General features: G+C 53.2%; 1 protein-coding gene across 11 annotated transcripts, besides 2 other annotated features; it reads right to left on the bottom strand.

Annotated features, from left to right (window-relative positions):
- EPHB6 (EPH receptor B6) lies at positions 73 to 16,090 on the bottom strand. 11 transcript variants are annotated; one of them, XM_011515879.2, is made up of 21 exons: positions 15,781 to 16,090; positions 9,980 to 10,114; positions 9,620 to 9,658; positions 9,033 to 9,149; positions 8,333 to 8,410; positions 7,839 to 8,039; positions 7,471 to 7,535; positions 6,417 to 7,200; positions 5,536 to 5,691; positions 4,850 to 5,206; positions 4,561 to 4,685; positions 4,098 to 4,260; positions 3,444 to 3,558; positions 3,117 to 3,169; positions 2,806 to 2,925; positions 2,427 to 2,674; positions 2,019 to 2,192; positions 1,200 to 1,349; positions 759 to 952; positions 481 to 636; positions 73 to 370 (listed from the first exon to the last, which is right to left on the bottom strand). In XM_011515879.2, the coding sequence occupies exons 6-21, from the start codon at positions 7,936 to 7,938 to the stop codon at positions 262 to 264; spliced, it is 3,069 nt and encodes a 1,022-aa protein (XP_011514181.1). In that variant the 5' UTR covers positions 7,939 to 8,039; positions 8,333 to 8,410; positions 9,033 to 9,149; positions 9,620 to 9,658; positions 9,980 to 10,114; positions 15,781 to 16,090; the 3' UTR covers positions 73 to 261. The 11 variants fall into 11 exon arrangements, 10 of the variants coding, with proteins under 10 accessions (XP_011514181.1, XP_047275939.1, XP_047275940.1 ...); XM_047419983.1 differs by having other exon boundaries at positions 2,019 to 2,189; XM_047419984.1 differs by having other exon boundaries at positions 4,098 to 4,167.
- Positions 2,997 to 3,932: an enhancer, noted in NCBI's record as "H3K4me1 hESC enhancer chr7:142564989-142565924 (GRCh37/hg19 assembly coordinates)". NCBI's record gives its function as "activates a minimal SCP1, AML or CMV promoter by ChIP-STARR-seq in primed H9 embryonic stem cells {active_cell/tissue: H9 hESC(primed)}" and the evidence as "EXISTENCE:reporter gene assay evidence [ECO:0000049][PMID:30033119]".
- Positions 4,207 to 4,740: an enhancer, noted in NCBI's record as "H3K4me1 hESC enhancer chr7:142564181-142564714 (GRCh37/hg19 assembly coordinates)". NCBI's record gives its function as "activates a minimal SCP1, AML or CMV promoter by ChIP-STARR-seq in naive H9 embryonic stem cells {active_cell/tissue: H9 hESC(naive)}" and the evidence as "EXISTENCE:reporter gene assay evidence [ECO:0000049][PMID:30033119]".
- Positions 16,091 to 17,259: the final 1,169 nt, after the last annotated feature.

Below are 17,259 nucleotides of genomic sequence, written 5' to 3'. Positions count from 1 at the left end.
CCCACCCCTCTGCTCCTACGTTGAGGCCTCCCTCACCCTTTGTTGCAGACTGAGGCCTCACCACACCAAACCTGCAAATTCCCTTCTTTCCCTTTAATGAGGAGGGGGCTGGTGGAGAGGCGGAGGACCAGGGAATGCAGCCATCGGGAGGGTTGGGTTTGGTGTGGGGCATCTCTCACAGAGGCTGTTGGAGCCCGGCTCACGTCCCACATGTCCCTTCTCGGACCAGTGTCCAGGGCTGAGTCACGGGTATCGTCATTCTCAGACCTCCACTGAGCCCTGCTGCCTCAGGTGTTGCTGAAGGAGCTGGATGTGGTGCAGCAGCTTCTTCTGGTGGCCAGCCAGGGTGATGCCCAGGGCAGGCAGGTCTCTGGTGGGGAGGGAAGGGATCAAATCTGGGCCAGCTTCTCCGAGATCCCCAATACGACCCCCAGCCAGGGGCCTGGAGCATTCGCCCCCACCCCACCACTCCCTGCTTACTCTAGGCTGAGCTGAGCCACATCACTGAAGGTACAGAGGCCAAACTTGGAGAAGTTGTCCTGGTAGCACTCCAGTCCAATGGCTGAAAGCCAGGCCTGGGGTGAGTCCAGACAAGGAAAGTCCAGGGCCACAGGGGTCAGAAGGGCCTGGGAAGGCCTAAGAGGGGAGGGGCAAGCAGGGTCAAGGTCTCCTCTTCATCTTAGCCCCTCTCCTCAGTTTTCTTTAGGTTTGCATCTACCCTCCCTGGCTTTCCCAGGCTCTAGCCCCAAGCTCCAGACCTTTCCCCTGGGTCCCCGCCAGCCTGCAGGGTATCTGGCTTGCGGATCATCTTGTCAAATGCAGCCACCAGCTGGTCAAAATGAGGCCGCCGGGCACGGTCCTTCTGCCAAGTGTCCAACATAAGTAGATGTAATCCAGGAGGACAGCCTGGAGGCGGGGGCAGCCGGAACTCCTGCTCTATTGCATTTAGTACCTGGGGGTCAGAGGAAGACTATGACGATGGGAAGTTTTGTTAGTAGAGGGGAGTACTTTGTTGGGTAAGAGGGTGGGCTGGAATCTGGTGGAGCATGAGGTTGGAGTGGAGAAGGAACTCAAAGATATGGCAATCCAACAGCCATGAGATCTTAGAATACAAACGGAGTAGAGAATGGAGGTCCTAGAATGTTCCAACCTGGGAGGGATCGGGGTGGGAAATCAGCAGTGTCTAGGTCAGTGCTCACCTCCTGCTCACTCATGTCCCAGTAAGGCCGTTCTCCATAACTCATCACTTCCCACATGAGTATCCCAAAGCTCCAGACATCACTGGATGTTGTATGCTTTCCATGTGCAATGACCTCTGGGGCTGCCCAGCGAAGCAAACAACTTGGGCCCTGAGGGGTAAAGTCAAAAGCAAATAGTAATAATCATAGTAATAGTCACGTTTATTGAGCAACTACTATGTGCTCAGATATGCCAAGGGTTTTACATCAAGCATCTCATTTAATCCTCATAACAACCCTCTAAGGTGGATGATATCATCTCCATTTCACAGAAGCAGAAGCAATAGTCACGTTTATGGAGCAACTACTATGTGCTCAGATATGTTAAGGGTTTTACATCAAGCATCTCATTTAATCCTCATAACAACCCTCCAAGGTGGATGATATTATCTCCATTTCACAGAAGCAGAAGGTGAAGCTTAGAGAAAGTGAACTTGTCCAAGGTCACAGAGCTGGAGAGCAGAGTGTTAAGAATTTGTACCCAGCTGTGCTGACTCTGGAGTCTGTGTAATCTCCACAATGGGGGAAGGGCAGGAGGTAGTTCTAGATTGTTGCAGGTCTCCTCCCCTCCCTCATCCCCTTTGTCTCGGTCCCTGAAATCCCTCAAACCCCGTCGCCTAGGCTTTCATCTCCCCATCACACAGGAGAGCCTCCCTCCTTTCAGGGACTATGACACCCCGGCTGAGGTACCTACCCCAGATTCCAGCTCACCCCCGACCCCAGCACCTGCTGGGGCATGCCACAAGGCCCCAGGCTGTGTCCCCAAGGCTGTGCTCTCACCTGAGGACTGTGGCCAAGACGGGCCACCTTGCACACCAAGTGGCTATTCACCAGCACGCTGTGGGCAGACAGCGAGCGATGGACGAAGGCAAAGCTGGACAGGTACTGCATGGCAGCAGCCACTCCCCGCTGCATGGCCACCAGCTGCAGGCTGCTGAACTGGCCCTCCCGCTGCTGAGGGGAAGGGGCAGGGGGCAGAGGTCAGTGATCGGAGACAGGGGGAGACCTCAACATACTGCATAGCAGACAACAGCATGAGAGCGGGAGGGTGTCGAATCAGAAAATGGCTGGGAAGGAAGGACGGAGACCATGGAAGGTGGGGTGGTAAGAAGCAAAGATACAGGACCTCGTCTCCTGGAAGCTTTCCTGGACCCAAGGACCCTCCTCCTTCACCCAGGCTGGACTGACCCTGAGGAAGCTGTCCAGGGGGCCAAGCTCCATGAACTCCGTCAGCACCATGAGGGGTCGGCTCTTGGTGACCACGCCCTCCAGCCGCAGGATGTTGGGGTGCTGGAACTGACCCAGCACTGCGGCCCGGCCCAGGAAGGTCATCTGCAGGCTTTCGGCGCCCCCGGCCCACAGGGCCTGGATGGCCACAGTCTGCTCCCTCCGTCCCCGTGGCTGCAGGCGGCCCTGGCGCACTTCTCCAAAAGAGCCTGGGAAAATAGGTGTAGGTTGGGGTGGGGATCAAGGCTCACAGCGTCCTGCTGTGTTTGGATGGGACTCTGGCCAGCGGAGGCCACAAGGGAGCCCCGTCGCTCTGATCCCTGCTTTGGCCCTGCTGTACCTGTCCCAATGACCTCCTCAATCTTGATATAAGCAGGATCGACTTCCCGGGCAAGTTCTCGGATGGCCTGACAGGGGTCCTCGTAGGTGGAGGGGTCGATGTAATACTTCACCCCGAGTCCTGGAGGGGTGTGGAGTATGTTATGAGCGTGTTGTGAAAGGCAGGGCTGCCCGCGCACCCCAGACATGCCCACTTACCTCCAGAAGGTTGTGCCAAGGAGCTCCCCCAATCTTGGGGGGATCCAGCCTTGCCTGCCATGTGCCCCACCCATGTGTTCCCCAGCCCCACCCATTTCCTCTCCTCATCCCCACCTGGGCTGCTGTATTGCTGCAGCTGCTCTGTGTAGCCAGTCCCACGCCGCTTCCTGAGGAACAAAACGGTGACTGGGGATGACGCTCCCATTTCCACCCCCTTGCTGCCCCCTTGTCACCCTCCAGACTGCTCTTTAGTCGGTCTGTGGAGGGGGGACGACAGCCTGGCCCTCCTGCCCATCTCCACGTGGGGCCCAGGGCAGGGGCTGGCTGACGGGAGGAGCACCAGTGTGAGGTTTCTGCAGGGGGCTCCAGACTTGGCAGGACTTGAGGTTTGGCTGTGGAGTTAATGGTGCTGGGCAGAGTTGGGCAGGGGTGGGGACTCACCGCTGGAAGACGACCGCCAGCACGGTGATGGCTGCCAGCAGGAGGAAGGCCAAAGCCCCCAGGATGGAGCCGATCACCAAGGAGAGTCTTTCTGGAAGCTGGGAAGACAGCTCCCCTGGGGGACCAGCCGACAGGGTCACAGGTGGGCCAGGTCTCTCACAGGTGCTTGTTCATGTGCCCAGGCACCCACACACACCACAGGCACACACAACATGCACGCGCATGCCCCAAACCTCCCACATCCATGCACAGGGACACACAACACACACACACGCCCACAGCCCTCCCACATCCACACACAGGGACACACAACACACACACACATCCCCACAGCCCTCCACATCCACACACAGGGACACACAACACACACACACGCCCACAGCCCTCCCACATCCACACCCAGGGACACACAACACACACACACATCCCCACAGCCCTCCTATATCCACACTCAACATGCATACATACCCCTACAATTCCCCACCTCCCCGAGTAGCCCCTAGGTCAGCTGCTGAGCAAAAGGCACTCTCCTTTCCCACAGAACTTCTGGTTGGGAAGCACGGGGCCAGGGTTCAAGGCCGGACAGTCCCTGGGCCTCTCCTCACTACCCACTTGGGCCTTCACCTGCCCATCTGGCCCTTGACCCCCGCTCACCTTGAGGAAGTGTCTGGAAATAGACTTTGCCCCCGTAGGGGCCGTGGCCGGCAGCAGTCCGGGCCCGCACCTGGAAACCATAGATGTGGCCAGGGCTCAGCTGTGTCACGGTGGCAGTGTTGGTCTCGCTGGTCAGGGTGAAGGAGTGGGATTCGTCTTCTGCCTGGGGGTAACAGCCACTCACTCCCTGCCTGGCCCCCTCTTGCCCCTGCTTCTGCCCCTAAGGCCCCCAGCCACCCTCCCTGGTTGACAGGGCTCTCAGACACATGCCCAGTGCTGCACACTTCTGGGCACCTCTCCTTGCCCATTCAGCCTCTGGCCCCTACTGTGGGGACTGTGAGCTCCTGCCAGCCCTGTTGCGGACCCCTCATTCCTCCTGTGCACCTGGTCACCTCTGGGCCCCACTGTGAGGCCTATGAGCTCCTACCAGCCCTACTGCGGAACCCCCACTCCTCCTGCGCACCTGGTCATAGTAGCGGAGCTGATAGTCCAGGATGTTCCCATTGGTCTGGTCGGGCTGCGGCCAGGACACCGTGATGCTGTTGGATGCCCGGCTCACCTGGTGCACCACAGGGACAGCAGAGGGCACTAGAGTGCAAAAGGAAAATTATTATGGGGATAGGAGTCCCTGGGAGCAGGATCAGCCTTGAGGGGAGGGCGGCAGGGGTGGACCAGGCTGGAGATCAGGAGTAGGGAAGGGGGCTCAAAGGAGCGGAGGCAGGGGATCCTGAAGGCCAAGGAAAAGAGCTCACCTTCATGGCTGGTGCTGACATTGATGGCTGCAGCCTGAGGAGGGTCAGGGCTGAGCTCAGACACCCCATTAACAGCCTGCACCTCTAAGATGTAGGGTACGTGTGCCCGGAGTCCCCCCACTAACACTCGGCTCTCAGTCAGGCCTCTCTGGCGAGGGTCGAAGTGGACCTCATCCCTGCAGCGGTGACAAGTGCCCCCACCACCGCTGGCAGGTTCCTGGCGGCCTTCACACTCCTTGCACACGACATTGAAGAGCAGGTCCCCTCGACCCCCCAGCTCCCGAGGCAGGCGCCAGTGTAGCATGAGTGCTGAGCCTTGCACCTCAAACCAAAGCTCCTGGGGAGCCGATGGAGGACCTGGGGGGCCGGAGGATATGGCAGTCCAAGGGCCAAGAGGGCAGCAGTGGGGGTGATTGAGGAAGGAAGGAGCCAGGGGAGGGTGGGTGGCCGAGAGGGAAGGAGACAGAAGAGCGTGGGGTGGGGGTAGCCCAGAGAGGCAGGATGTGGGCCCAGGGAAGGATGGGTCAGGGAGAGAAGGGGGTGGGGACAGGGAGGGGAGGAAGCCAAGAAAATAGGGGAAAAACAAGTCACTCCAAATGCAAAGAGCCCCCAGTGTTGCCTGCTACCCCCACTTCTGGCCCCTCTCCAAGTCTCTTTCCCATTGCAGGGCTGGGTGAGGAACTCACCAGTGCAGGGGGCCTCTGGTGGGTCGGAACTGGCCCGGTAGAAGCCCTCCAGGCAGGGGCAAACGGGGGCTGCTGGGTTGGGAGCGTGACTGCGGGCAGGGCATGGTGAGCAGGGAGCATTCCCAGCAGAAGCCTTATAGAGCCCCCGTGGGCAGGCTGAGGAGGCAGAGGAGAGTGGGGGCGTCACACTCGCTCTGTCCACCCACCCTGAGCTCCCAACACACAGCAGGCAGGTATCCTCGCAGCCTTCTCTTCCCCAGAGCTGGTTCTCCTTTTCTTCCAAGACTGAACCCCACCCTCTCTTCCCTCAGGCAGAGATTTCTTCTGCCAATTGCTGGGACAGAATTGCATTTCCATGGATGGAGAAAGTGAGGTGCAGTGGGGGTTACAGACAGGCCCAGTGCCAGATGTGGGTGTTCCCAGCTTATTGCATAAGCTCCCTCTGCGGAGGCCTGCTGCTGCAGTCATTCTCCCTAGCTGCCATCCACTGCCTTCCTCTACCTGCGTCCCTGTCACCTGGCCCAGCGAGGCAGGGACCCTCCCAACAGAAGGGCGAATGGGAACCAAAGGACTCTATTCCATAGTAACCCTGGAGCTGGAGCTAAACTCCTTTTGGTCTCCATCGCTTCTCAGGCCTGAAGACTTAGGAGAAGGCAATTGCTGTGAAAGGCTCCAGAAGATTCCAGAAATTTCAGATGAGTGGGTGATAGTAAGTTTGAGTGCTTTAAGAAATAAAATTAGGGAAAATCAGGGTCCTTTCCTAAGATGGCTTATTCCTGACCTTTTGCAGATAAAATGAATTTTGGGGTGTTCAGAGAGGAGCCCAAAGGCTGGGGGTGGGTGGGAGGTGTCGGGCAAGTGCAAGACGAGTGGGCTCTCACCTTGGCAGGCCTTGTCTCCTCGTGCTGGTTGGTATCCAGGCTGGCAGCGGCAGCCCCCGACAGCTACCATCCACTTGCCCTCCCCGTTGCAGTGCAGCCTGGGGGGGCTGCCTCCTGCCTGGCCCCCTACTCCATCCTCCTCTGGCTCTGCATGAGCCACACAGGTGCCCACAGCTGCCACCAGGGAGGCCCCCCCAGCCCCACTGGCCTGCGTCTCTGGAAAGGAAGCAAAGGATCGGAGCACGGCAGGGCAGGTGTAGGAGAAGAGCCTGACAGCGACCAGGGCCAGGCAGGCCCCCGTGTCCTGGAAGGCCACGTAGAAGCCGCGTTGGGTGAGAGGCCCAAAGCTCCGCTCTTTGACGTTCAGTTGCAGTCCAGCCCGCTGCCCAGCCCCGTGGGGTCCCACAGCCCACGCTGCAGAGGAAGAAGAGGAGGAGGAGGAGGAGGAGGAGGAGGGAAAGCTCTCGTCTGCTGCAATTGTGTCCACCTTGGTCCAGCGTTTGAGGTGCCAGGAGGAAACGCTGTCAGGGCTGTCGGGCTCCTCAGCCTGACGGTAGTAAAGGGTGAAGGTCTCCCGGCAGGTGCCGCCGCTCACACCCAGGCTGGAGCATGCCCGCACAGAGAAGTGGAGTCGAATGTGCGCCCTCTGGGCCCCGCGCCGCTCCACAAAGTGTGTCTGCAACCAATTGTCCTGCCCGGTGCCTGGAGGGGCCCCTGCCACATGACATGCCTCAAAGGTCCGAGTCAGGCGTCGCTGGTCGTCCAGAACACTCACCTCGTCCCACTGCAGGAAGGGCCAGGAGAAGCTTTAGGGGCTCCGGGCTTAAGCACGGCGAGGTAGAGGTTATAGGGAAGGGGACATATCTCTTCCACTGAGACTTAAAATTAATGACAAGCAAAGCAGATAGAGGATACCTTGAAATCTTGGTGCTCTAGAGGGAGGGATCCTTTTCCCATAATCCTCACCCAGGGTTTCCTTCATGAATTCCACTCTCCAGGGAACAGGGAGGGGCAGGGCCAAGGGATTCAGGTTCAGAATTAGAGTGGCACTCACCCCCCCTGGTGGGTAGGTGAGCCAGCCAATCTCAGATGTCTCTCCGGTGGTGTCCAGCAATACCTCTGCCCAGAAATAAGAGGGGCACACAGTGGCCAAGCCTCCAGCCAGCACTGCCAGCCCCTACTCTATTCCCACCGCGAACAAAAGAATGCCCCACCCGGGCCCATGTCTTTGCCAGCAGGAGCACAGCTGTCCATCAGGGTCCTTTCTCTGACAAATCTGATGTGGGTCTTCATTATCCTCACCATGCCTTTCCCTTTATTGATGTCTTCACTCTTATCTACCTTTTCTAAATCTTTCCCACTTCCCCCTTTCACTGGGTCTCTATGGCAGGTCTGGGTTCTCCTGTCTCCCCTCCCTCTTACCTTCCAGAGCCAGAACTGAAGACACCAGGAGCAGCACCCATAGGCTACACACCATGCCCGCCACTCTGTTCCCTAACTGGGCAGCCCCTTCAGTAGCCATGGGACATCTTCAGGGCGTCCACCATCGCCCCAGCCACCACCCTGCTCCTGGGTGGGGCTGCAGCTTTTGCAAGACTCAGGGTGTACAGCTAAGCTTGCTTCCTGAGGAGACACACAAGACCAGAAGAGGCAGGTGGGAAGAAAGTGTTTCTTCATATACAGCCCAAGCTCCAAAAGCTGACCCCGTGTCTGTGTCTCCTCCTACAGCTCTCCAATCGCCCCAGCACCCACCATGGGACAGAAGCCAGGTTGCATACTGCCTCTCCTGAGCCGGTGCACATTTGACCATCTTGGAGTGTTCGTGCCTACTCCCTGTGTGACCCTGTCTCTGTGTTCATTTCTCACAGCTCTCCTTCCTAGAAGTGGGGCAGAGGGTGTTTCTGGGTCAATCTTACCCTTTTTTTTTTTTTCTGCAAGGGGTTATTCCAGTTCTTTCTCTTCATTTACTCTCCTCCCTTCCTCCAACAGCCACCCTGTATTGGAAGTTAGAAGATTTTCATTAAAGGCAGCTGGTTAAGAAGCTGCTGCATCCTACAGACACATGAATTGAATCCTCACCACACCGCCCCACCCCCGATGGACCTGGATGCTCTAGAAATTTCAGAGGGGCAGTGAAGCAGTGAAGCGGGAGGGACACAGGAAGATGGCTGTGGGGTATGATGGGAGGGAAGGGACCAGAATAAATACAGAAAGAACACAGGCATGAAGATTCAGTCTGATAAATGAGACAGTGCAGGGAGGGGGCAGAGCTATGGAGGTCTGGCATACACTTTGTGAACAAAGATCCTCGTGCCCCAAGGGGTGCATGTTTTCCTAGAGCTTACAGAAGAATAACCCTATGGCTTTAACATATGAAAAGATGCTTCTTGTTTGCTCACATTGAAAGGAAACCAGGTTAAAACTACAGCAACAGGCCATTTGTTATAGAAGGAATATTTGTGCCCCCCCTCCATTCATATGTTGAAATCCTAACTCCCAAGATGATGGTATTAGAAGATGGGGCCTTTGGGAGGAAATTTTAGGTCATGAGGGTGGAGCCCTCACTAATCATGAGATTAGTGCCCAGATGAAAGAGACCCCAAAGGGCTTTCTCACCCTTTTTCTGCCATTCGAGGACACAACAAAGAAGAGGGCAGTCTGAAACCTAGAAGAGAGGCTTCGCCAGGAACTGACCATGCCGGCACCCTGATCTTGGACTTCCCAGCATCTAGACTGTGAGAAAGATATTTCTATTGTGTATAAGCTACTAGGTCTATTGCACTTTGTTATGGCAGCCACAGTTGCCTAAGACACCATTTTTACCATGTTGGACAAGATATGGGAAATAGGTTCTCTTGTACATACTCTGCTTGAATCCAAATTGGAATATTCTCTTGGGAGGACAATTGGGTAATATCTTTCCAGCAACTACATTGTAAGAATGTGTCCTTCAGGTACTGTATACTTGTATGGGTTTGCACAGATGTTTGAACAAAGACATTAATTGCAAATTGTTTATAAGAGAAAAGGCTGTAAACTAACTGTCCATCAATTGGAAGACAGTAAAATTATAGTACATCCTTAGAAAGAAATACGGGCAACTGTTGATGCACTGATATAAAAAGCATTTCCAAGTGAAAGTGGGACAATGGAGAACAGTGTAAAGTAAGCTCCCCTTTGTTAAGAAGGATATATACACATACATATGTATGGAAGGATATCTATGGAAGAGCATCCAAAACCTGTGAAAAAGGCAAAGGAAGTGGACTGAGACCCAGTGCAAGGGAGACTTAACTTTCATTGTATTCTCATTAATTGTATCCATTTAAATTTTTGCATTCTTAAACTCTTGCATGTGTATTCTTTCAACTAAATCATTGATTAAAATTTTCTTTAAAACTATAGGATAATAACTGTTTAGTAAAGTTAATCAAAACAGTGTTCATATCCTCATAATGGCTTCTCAGAACTATGTAGTAAGCTACCTCTTATATAAAACCTTCCTGTGCCTTCAGAAGGTACACCACTAAGCTCACGAGCAAATGAACAGAAGGAATAGCTACCTCCAGTGTCACAATGAAGACAAACAGGCTTGGCACCTCCTTTGCTTGTTGATTTAGAGATTGGCGGTTCTCTATCTCTCCTCGTGTCTGAGTCTCAGAAGTCTGTGAATTGGGTGGACTATAATCCCTTTATTTCTGTGAAGAAAAAAAAGAGACATGTTGCCCAGATTGCTCAAAAGACATAGAACTGAGAGGAAAACAAAAAAAAAGCCAATTAGAAGAGAAGTTGTGATTTGTTTTTCCTGGATATATATGGCCTTGGGATTGTTGAAAGCTATCATAAAACAAAAATCAAACTATGAAACTTTAATTGCAACAAATATGAAAATCATAATTTGATTCCTACTAATTTTTTTCTGGCACTGCGGGCTGTGCTGTCCATGAAGTTATCATGGAAATACACCATTTCTACATACGCGTGGGCTGATGTAGAGTGGGCACCTGCCAACTAGCCCCTGAAACTCACCTTTTATACATCTTTAACCCTATTTGTGAAATAGAGAGTTCAATTTACAGCCTATGGAGACAAGTAAGGAGCATTTCCATATGGCAAATTGCTCTTAAGTAATGTTCTTTGCAAAAATGTCTGAAATGTTACTAGGATCCTTCACAGATGAAATAAATGCTTTGGAGAGGAACGGGGAGATCATGAAGTAAAAAGCAGGCATAGCTATTAAATTCTGTAACCTTGGCACCGTCACCAGTGGCTGTTTAATAAATATCCTAAAGTAATTCATGTTGTAAGTGCATCCCCTCCAAACTCTCAATGGCTTAATTTGGAGACGTGCTTGACACACTGAAGCAAACCAGAGTCACGGAGTCCTTAGAAATACTGTTATCAGGGAAAGAAAATGCCAGCAGCAGGTTTTTAAACAATGAAGGCTATTTTACCATTTGCCTAGAAGTTATTCTTTAAAATAGTCTCTTTCTTTCACTCAGAACATGGATGGATTCTGTAATCTGTACAAAGAAGAAACAGTAAGCCCTGTGTCTTCTCAAGCTTACAACTAGGCAAATAATCATGAAGAAGGAACAATAAATATTTTGGAAATATTTCAATGAATTATTTTGAAAGACAGCCAAGCAAGATAGAAAAGATGCGCTGCAGATAGTATCAGCTGTCCAATATGGAACACTCTGGAAGATGAATAGCAAGATATTTGCTTTGATGACCCGAACTACAAGGAACACAGTCACTTGTGGTTGCAATAGGGCGTGCTTGCATAGCCTTAGCATGCCTCGTAATGACAACACGAAGCTGGCCTCCCTCCAGAAGATCCAGAAAAGAGCAAAAGCAATTATGAAACATGGATGTTAAGGCCACTCAGCTTCTGCCATCAAGAAACAGCATAAAGAAAAGAAGAAAATGGAGACACTGCCTGTGGATGACCACTTCAGCAATTTTTTGAAATTTTACTAAGAACAAAGATATTCATTAAAAAGAAATGGTTGAGGATCTTAAAGTACCCAGAAGGATACTTCTAATGTTTGATGAGGACCTCTTTTAGATTCAGATCCAGATGACTGAAGGTTATAAATACATTTTTTCAGAAAAAAAAAATTGTTGCTGAGTCAGACTAGGAAGTTAGGTGAGTTCTTACTTATCAAACAAACCAGATAAATTCAAGACTTTTAATTTTAATATATAAAAAGAATATGGGTGTACCCCTGTTGCAGGAATCCAAATAAAGAAAAAGGAAGCTTTATTAAGATATGGAATAAATTGCTGTCAGCAAATTCATACCACTGCAGATTCTTTTGAAGCCAATTTCAAAGGCAGAAACATAAGTGACAAGAACACGGCTGCTCCACATGCCTGGAATGCTAAGTAAGCAGGACTCAGAACTTGATTTTTCAAAGGTGTCTTCAATGGTTGTGGGCATGGAGCATCTTCTGCATTTGGTCCAGGAGAGCATCCCAGGGACAGGCCAGTACATTTCTCCTGCCACAGAGATGGGAAGCAGCCTCTGCAAAGCCAGGCCCCTTGCTCCTCTCTCACAGCCTGCTTGAGAGTCCTCTCTCCTCTGACTTACAAAAGGAACTGGTCAGTATTTAGAAATTCTCTAACACAAGAATGTGCAAAAGAACTTATCTCCTTTAGAAAAATATTCACATTTCAGATGTGTATAAGGTTTTAAAAATATAAAACCAGAAGCAGCAGAAATGTGAACATAAAACAATGGTGGAGAAAACGAGACGGATTAGACAAAGTTTTAGGTAACAAAAATTGCAGTCTATGACTTTATAATATGTTCTCAGCTTCTTTTATAGATATATCACTTAATATCTTTTTGATACAGTAGAGACAATAGATCCACAAGCCTGCTACATCTCTTTGGTTTACAAAAATAAGACTGTTTCTTAGGTATCAAGGTTGTGTTTTGTTTTCAGAAACTGGCAAAAAGTAAAGATTTGTAGAATCATAGGTTACAAAGCATAGCTTACGAGTTATGTTGCTATAAAAATGAAATATTTCACTTTGGGAGGCCAAGGTGGGCGGATCACAAGATCAGGAGATCGAGACCGTCCTGGCTAACACGGTGAAACCCCGTTTCTACTAAAAATACAAAAAAAAAAAAAAAAATTAGCTGGGCGTGGTGGCGTGTGCCTGTAGTCCCAGCTGCTGGGGAGGCTGAGGCAGGAGAATGGCGTGAACCCGGGAGGCAGAGCTTGCAGTGAGCCGAGATCGTGCCACTGCACTCCAGCCTCGGCGACAGAGCAAGATGCTGTCTCAAAAAAAAAAAAAAAAAAAAAAAAAAAAAAGAATGACTTAAAAGTAAATTAAATTGGTAAATTGGTAAGAATTTAAAAAATTAATCGTGCTCCAATTAAATGCTAAATATGATATTTTCATGAGCAAATCAAGCTTACTTAATATAGTTTATGCACCTCAATCCACAAAGTGAATTTTTAAAGATTAAATAATGTAAGCCAAATAAGCTTGGAGGAAGGTAGGCAGAAGACATATTAGGCCATTAAAATGGGTTACTGTGGGAGGTAGAAATGAAGGATTGTAGGTGGGGGCATTAATTTTGTCTTACACATAATTCAATTATTTTTCTTGTTACAGTAAGCATACCTTATTTTTATAATTAACGTAAAATCTCATAATTAAAATCTAAACAAAAAAGAAAAATATTTGTAAAACCTAGACAAATAAGCATACGTTTACATTTTATTCACTCCCCATGCCATTTTCCTTCTATGTTTCAAAATATCAAGAAATGTTCATCTATAAGAAGAAGGTAGAGGTGGAAATACAGTAGGAGCTGAGAATGAATGAGTGAAGTAATGCCAACAAGAAAACCAAAATAATTGTTATCTCTGGCTAGTCTTTAAGCTTGTCTCCCAAGAAGTTCCAACTGTCCCGCTGCTGACATCATGCATGCTTCTCTTCGACGATGTCAAGCAAAGGGATGAGGCTATGAAGGGACAGAGGGGAACCCAGGGGACTGTCCACTGGGAACACATAGTAAAGGGCATGGCCCCAAACCGAGCCCAGACAGGAACAATTTAGTGAGACAAAGCAGGCTGCAGAGTCCAGCAGGGACAGAACAGTCCCAAGGGCAAAGCGGTTCGAGGTTTTATGTCTGGTGTGGTTGCTGGGCTGGTCCTTACACCTGTGAGCCACACAGGTCAGTGTGGGAGGGGTCAGTACCACAGGCCCTGTCCCCTATCCTGTTCCACAGCTGTTAAACGCCCAGGAAATTCCAGTATAATCCTTGCTCAGTTTAATGCCAAAGCCTCTATCCTTTAATCTCCACCTTGGAGATCTCTTCGTGCTCTGGCCTCCTGCCTTGAGAAGGATCCCATCATCAGGCTTCATGGAGGCATCCAGGACAGACAGTGAGGAGGTGGCTGTCCTCCGGCTCTTCTAGTCCCTGCTTCCTTGGCTGGAGAAGCCAATTTGTAGATTACCTAGCAGAGGACAGTCCTGTGTCCCTGGAGGCCTCCAGCCCCTGAGAATGTCCCCCAGAGCACTGTGACTCAGACAAATGTGCCTCCCACTCCCAGGCTGTGGAGCTGGGGGAGGCTTTTAAGATGCAGGCAGTGTCTAGGTCTAGCCAGACAGCCACTTAGAATGAGCCACTCTGTGCACTGACCGGGGACATGCGTGGCTCTGGAAAAGAGCATAAGGGAGGGTGTTAAGGCAGGAGGCAAATGTGCCTGAGAGATGAGTAAGTGGAAGGTTGTGGAAGAAAGCCCCTGAGTGCCAGGAGTAGCACCTGCGTCAGCAGTGCCTGAGGATGTGTGTCTACCTGGTGGAGTGTGTAAGGGAATGTGTATGAGATGAGGTGGGCGGGAGCAGATGCTGTCTGTGTAGATGGGGGCTGTTGCTTTCCTGTGGCAGAAGATGCACATCAGTGCTGGTTCCGGAGTGGTTCCATGGGCCCTTCTTCCTCACCTTCGGCCCCTGCTCTACCCCCAGTCTGGCTGTGAGTTGCTCTTGGCCCCAGGAGGTACTTCTGCAGAAACACCTGGGCTGGGAGAGGGAGCCAAGTGGGGGGCGGGGAGGAGTGGGTAAAGAAAGGGAAACCTGAGGCTTCCCAAACCCTCCAGAACCTGCCATCCTCCTTCTACCTAGAGTGGGAACTCAGGGTCTAGGGCCCAGGCTCAGGACAGAGTGATAGCAGAACAGCCGTCCCAGAAGGAGGATCCTGCCTTTCCCATGCTCAGCCCACCCCAGCCTGTTGCTCCCCAGCATTCTGGTAACTCAGTGTCATTGCCAACCATCTTTTTGCACCCTGAATGGAGTAATAGACTCCAAACAAGTCCTCCTTCTGAGGCCACCAGGTAAGTACATAGACACCCCCACGCTAATCTTCCTTTGAGAAAAAAGGCCCACTGCTCTGAAAAGCCAAGTGGCCCCACTGAGCAGCACTCAGAAGCCTCAATGCTCCAATGCCCCTTACTTGGGCAGCTTCTGTGGTCTACTAACAGCCCCACACAGCTCCCTCCCACTGGTCTCTCAGCTCAGGACCAGCATCTCCCCTCCTAGAGCCTCAGTCAAGTTCCCCTGGCGGGCGGAGGGCCTGGGTTAACTGGGAACAGACCCAGCAGCTCCGCTCCATGGGCGCTGCCAGGGACATTACAACATTGCTATGCTGGGTCCATGCCAGCTCCCCCAGGGATGGGAGGAGAGAGGGTGCCAGACGGCCAAGATCGGTGGGTGGGGGTGTGGGGCAAGCAGGGCCAAGCACCCAGATGGAGGGAGCAGAGCGAGGGTGGAGCTGGGGCAGGAGCACGCAATAGAATTTGGTTGCACGTTGGGGGTGATGGCTGGGCAGCAGGAACCAAGCGTTCCTTCCACCTCCAAGGCTTAACTGTGGTCATGGAGCTGGGGGGGACAGTGCCTTGTGGGGAGCAGGGGACAGGTGTGTGGTCAGCCTCCTGACTCCTCCCAGCTCCAAGGGGATTGGAGTGATGCCACTGGAGTCAGAGGGGTGGCAATCCTGTTCCAAGCGTGGAGCTCCGTCTCTGCGAGGACCCTCCCAGATTAGGACTCCCAAGCCAGAGCCAGAGGAGAATGTCTGGGAACGCAACTGGGGGATCCTAACAGCAAGGGTAATGCGGTGTCAATGATGCCAGGTCAGAGTGGAGTGAGAGGGGAGTAGCCAGGTTGACCGTTTCCTCACCCTTCATGAACCCCACTCTGGCCTTGAGGAAGGATCCTCAGTACTCCCTCAGGAAGCCACCTAGGGGCTGAGGAGCCCCACTACTCTTGCAAACCTTAATTCCTCTGTCCCCAAGCATACTGTCCCCGACCCCCACAACGCCGCCTGCTAACCCCGCGGGCTCACCTTCCCGTTGGCCGCAGTCTCTGCAGGTCTGCGCCCCCCGAGGCCTCGCAGTGGACCCGGGGCTCCTGGAGCTCGCACGGTGCCACCCGCGTCTTCTCCAGTCCGGGGACCCCGTTGCACCCGGCCCGGGTCCGTTCGGCGCCGAGAGTCCCTGGGATTCCGGGGTGGACCTGACGCTGGCGGCAGGGGCTGCTCCAGAGGTGGGGCGCCGGGAGATCCTGGGGGCCCGCGTCGAGATCGCCGTCGCCAAGCTGGGTCCCGGGTCCCGCCGCCCGCTGCTGTAGAGCCGCGGCTGGAGCGAACGCAGCCCGGCCCGCCCCCTCCGCGTCCCCTCCCAAGCCGGCCCGGCCCGCCCCTTCAGCCCCTTTGGCCGCCTTCCCACTCCCTTCTTCCGGGGAGCCGAGCCCGCCCTCCCGGCCTAGGCGGTGAGTGCGCGGCGCCCGCTCCTCCGCCCCGGCGCGCGGGGGAGACGCGGGGCGCGCCCGGGGCCCCGCCTGTGCGCCGGGAAGGGGGCGGCCTCCTCCCGCGGGTCTTGGCCGGGAGGATCGCACGCGTGGGGCGCCTGCAGGAAGTGGGAAGGGAAGAGGCTGTCTGTAAAGCCCCTGCCTGGGCTCGGGCTCGGGCTCGGCTTGGGTCGGACACCCGCGGAGCGAAGCGCAACTGGCGGACCGTGGCAGTTCAGGGCAGGGCAGAGCCCTGCACACACCCCCTCGCGCCTCCCTCCTCTTCGGCTTTAACTCTAGGAACTAAAACAGTGGGGCTCCTACTCAGCTTGGAACTAAGGTGGGCGTGAGCTGAGCAAGAGAGAAGGAAGGAAAAGCAGGGGGTGGAGGGAAAGACAAACTGAGAAATCTGGGAGAGTACGGGCGGTGGTAGGGGGAGCCGAGGCAGCGGGAGAGGGGGGCGTCTCGGTATGAAAGCGTCGCCGTGCTAGCCGGGAACTCTTTTCTCTTTTCGTGTCTGGATCTTGGTCAACGTTGGGGCTTCTGAGTCGAACCTCCCTCCATCTACCCTCCCCAAGGGGCAGGGCAGTCGGGTTGAAAAGGGGAAGCGCTGCTGTACGCCTGGCTCTGACATGGCTTGGGCAAGTCGCTGCACCTCTGGGTGCCTCCTCCCTCGCCCGCGCTCCGGAGAGAACCTCCCTGCAGTGAGGAGGGGCGGTGCAAGGTGCTCTCAGCTGGCGCCTGGAGGCAGGGTTGAGGAACCGAGGGGGCGCCGCGAGGAAAAGTGTTTCCGCCCACCTCTAACCCCTTCTCTAGCCGAGGACGGGGATTTGGGGTCTATTGTTTGGGTCCTACAGAGCTGGGCTGGGGCCTTGCCACGAAGTGTTGCTACCACCTGCTGGTTTTTCTAGGGAGCACAAGCACCCGGTGCGATTCCCTTTGCCCCCTTTTCTCCCTGTATCGCCCTGTCCCATCTTGCTCTCCTGTTTATTAAAGCAAATGGGCTGATCAAAACTGGTACTTAAAGAGCATTCAG

The sequence above is a fragment of the Homo sapiens genome, chromosome 7 (assembly GCF_000001405.40).
Source record: "Homo sapiens chromosome 7, GRCh38.p14 Primary Assembly".
NCBI classification, from domain to species: domain Eukaryota; kingdom Metazoa; phylum Chordata; class Mammalia; order Primates; family Hominidae; genus Homo; species Homo sapiens.
The sequence above is the reverse complement of the archived record's forward strand: the minus strand, read 5'-3'. Positions and strand labels throughout refer to the sequence as shown.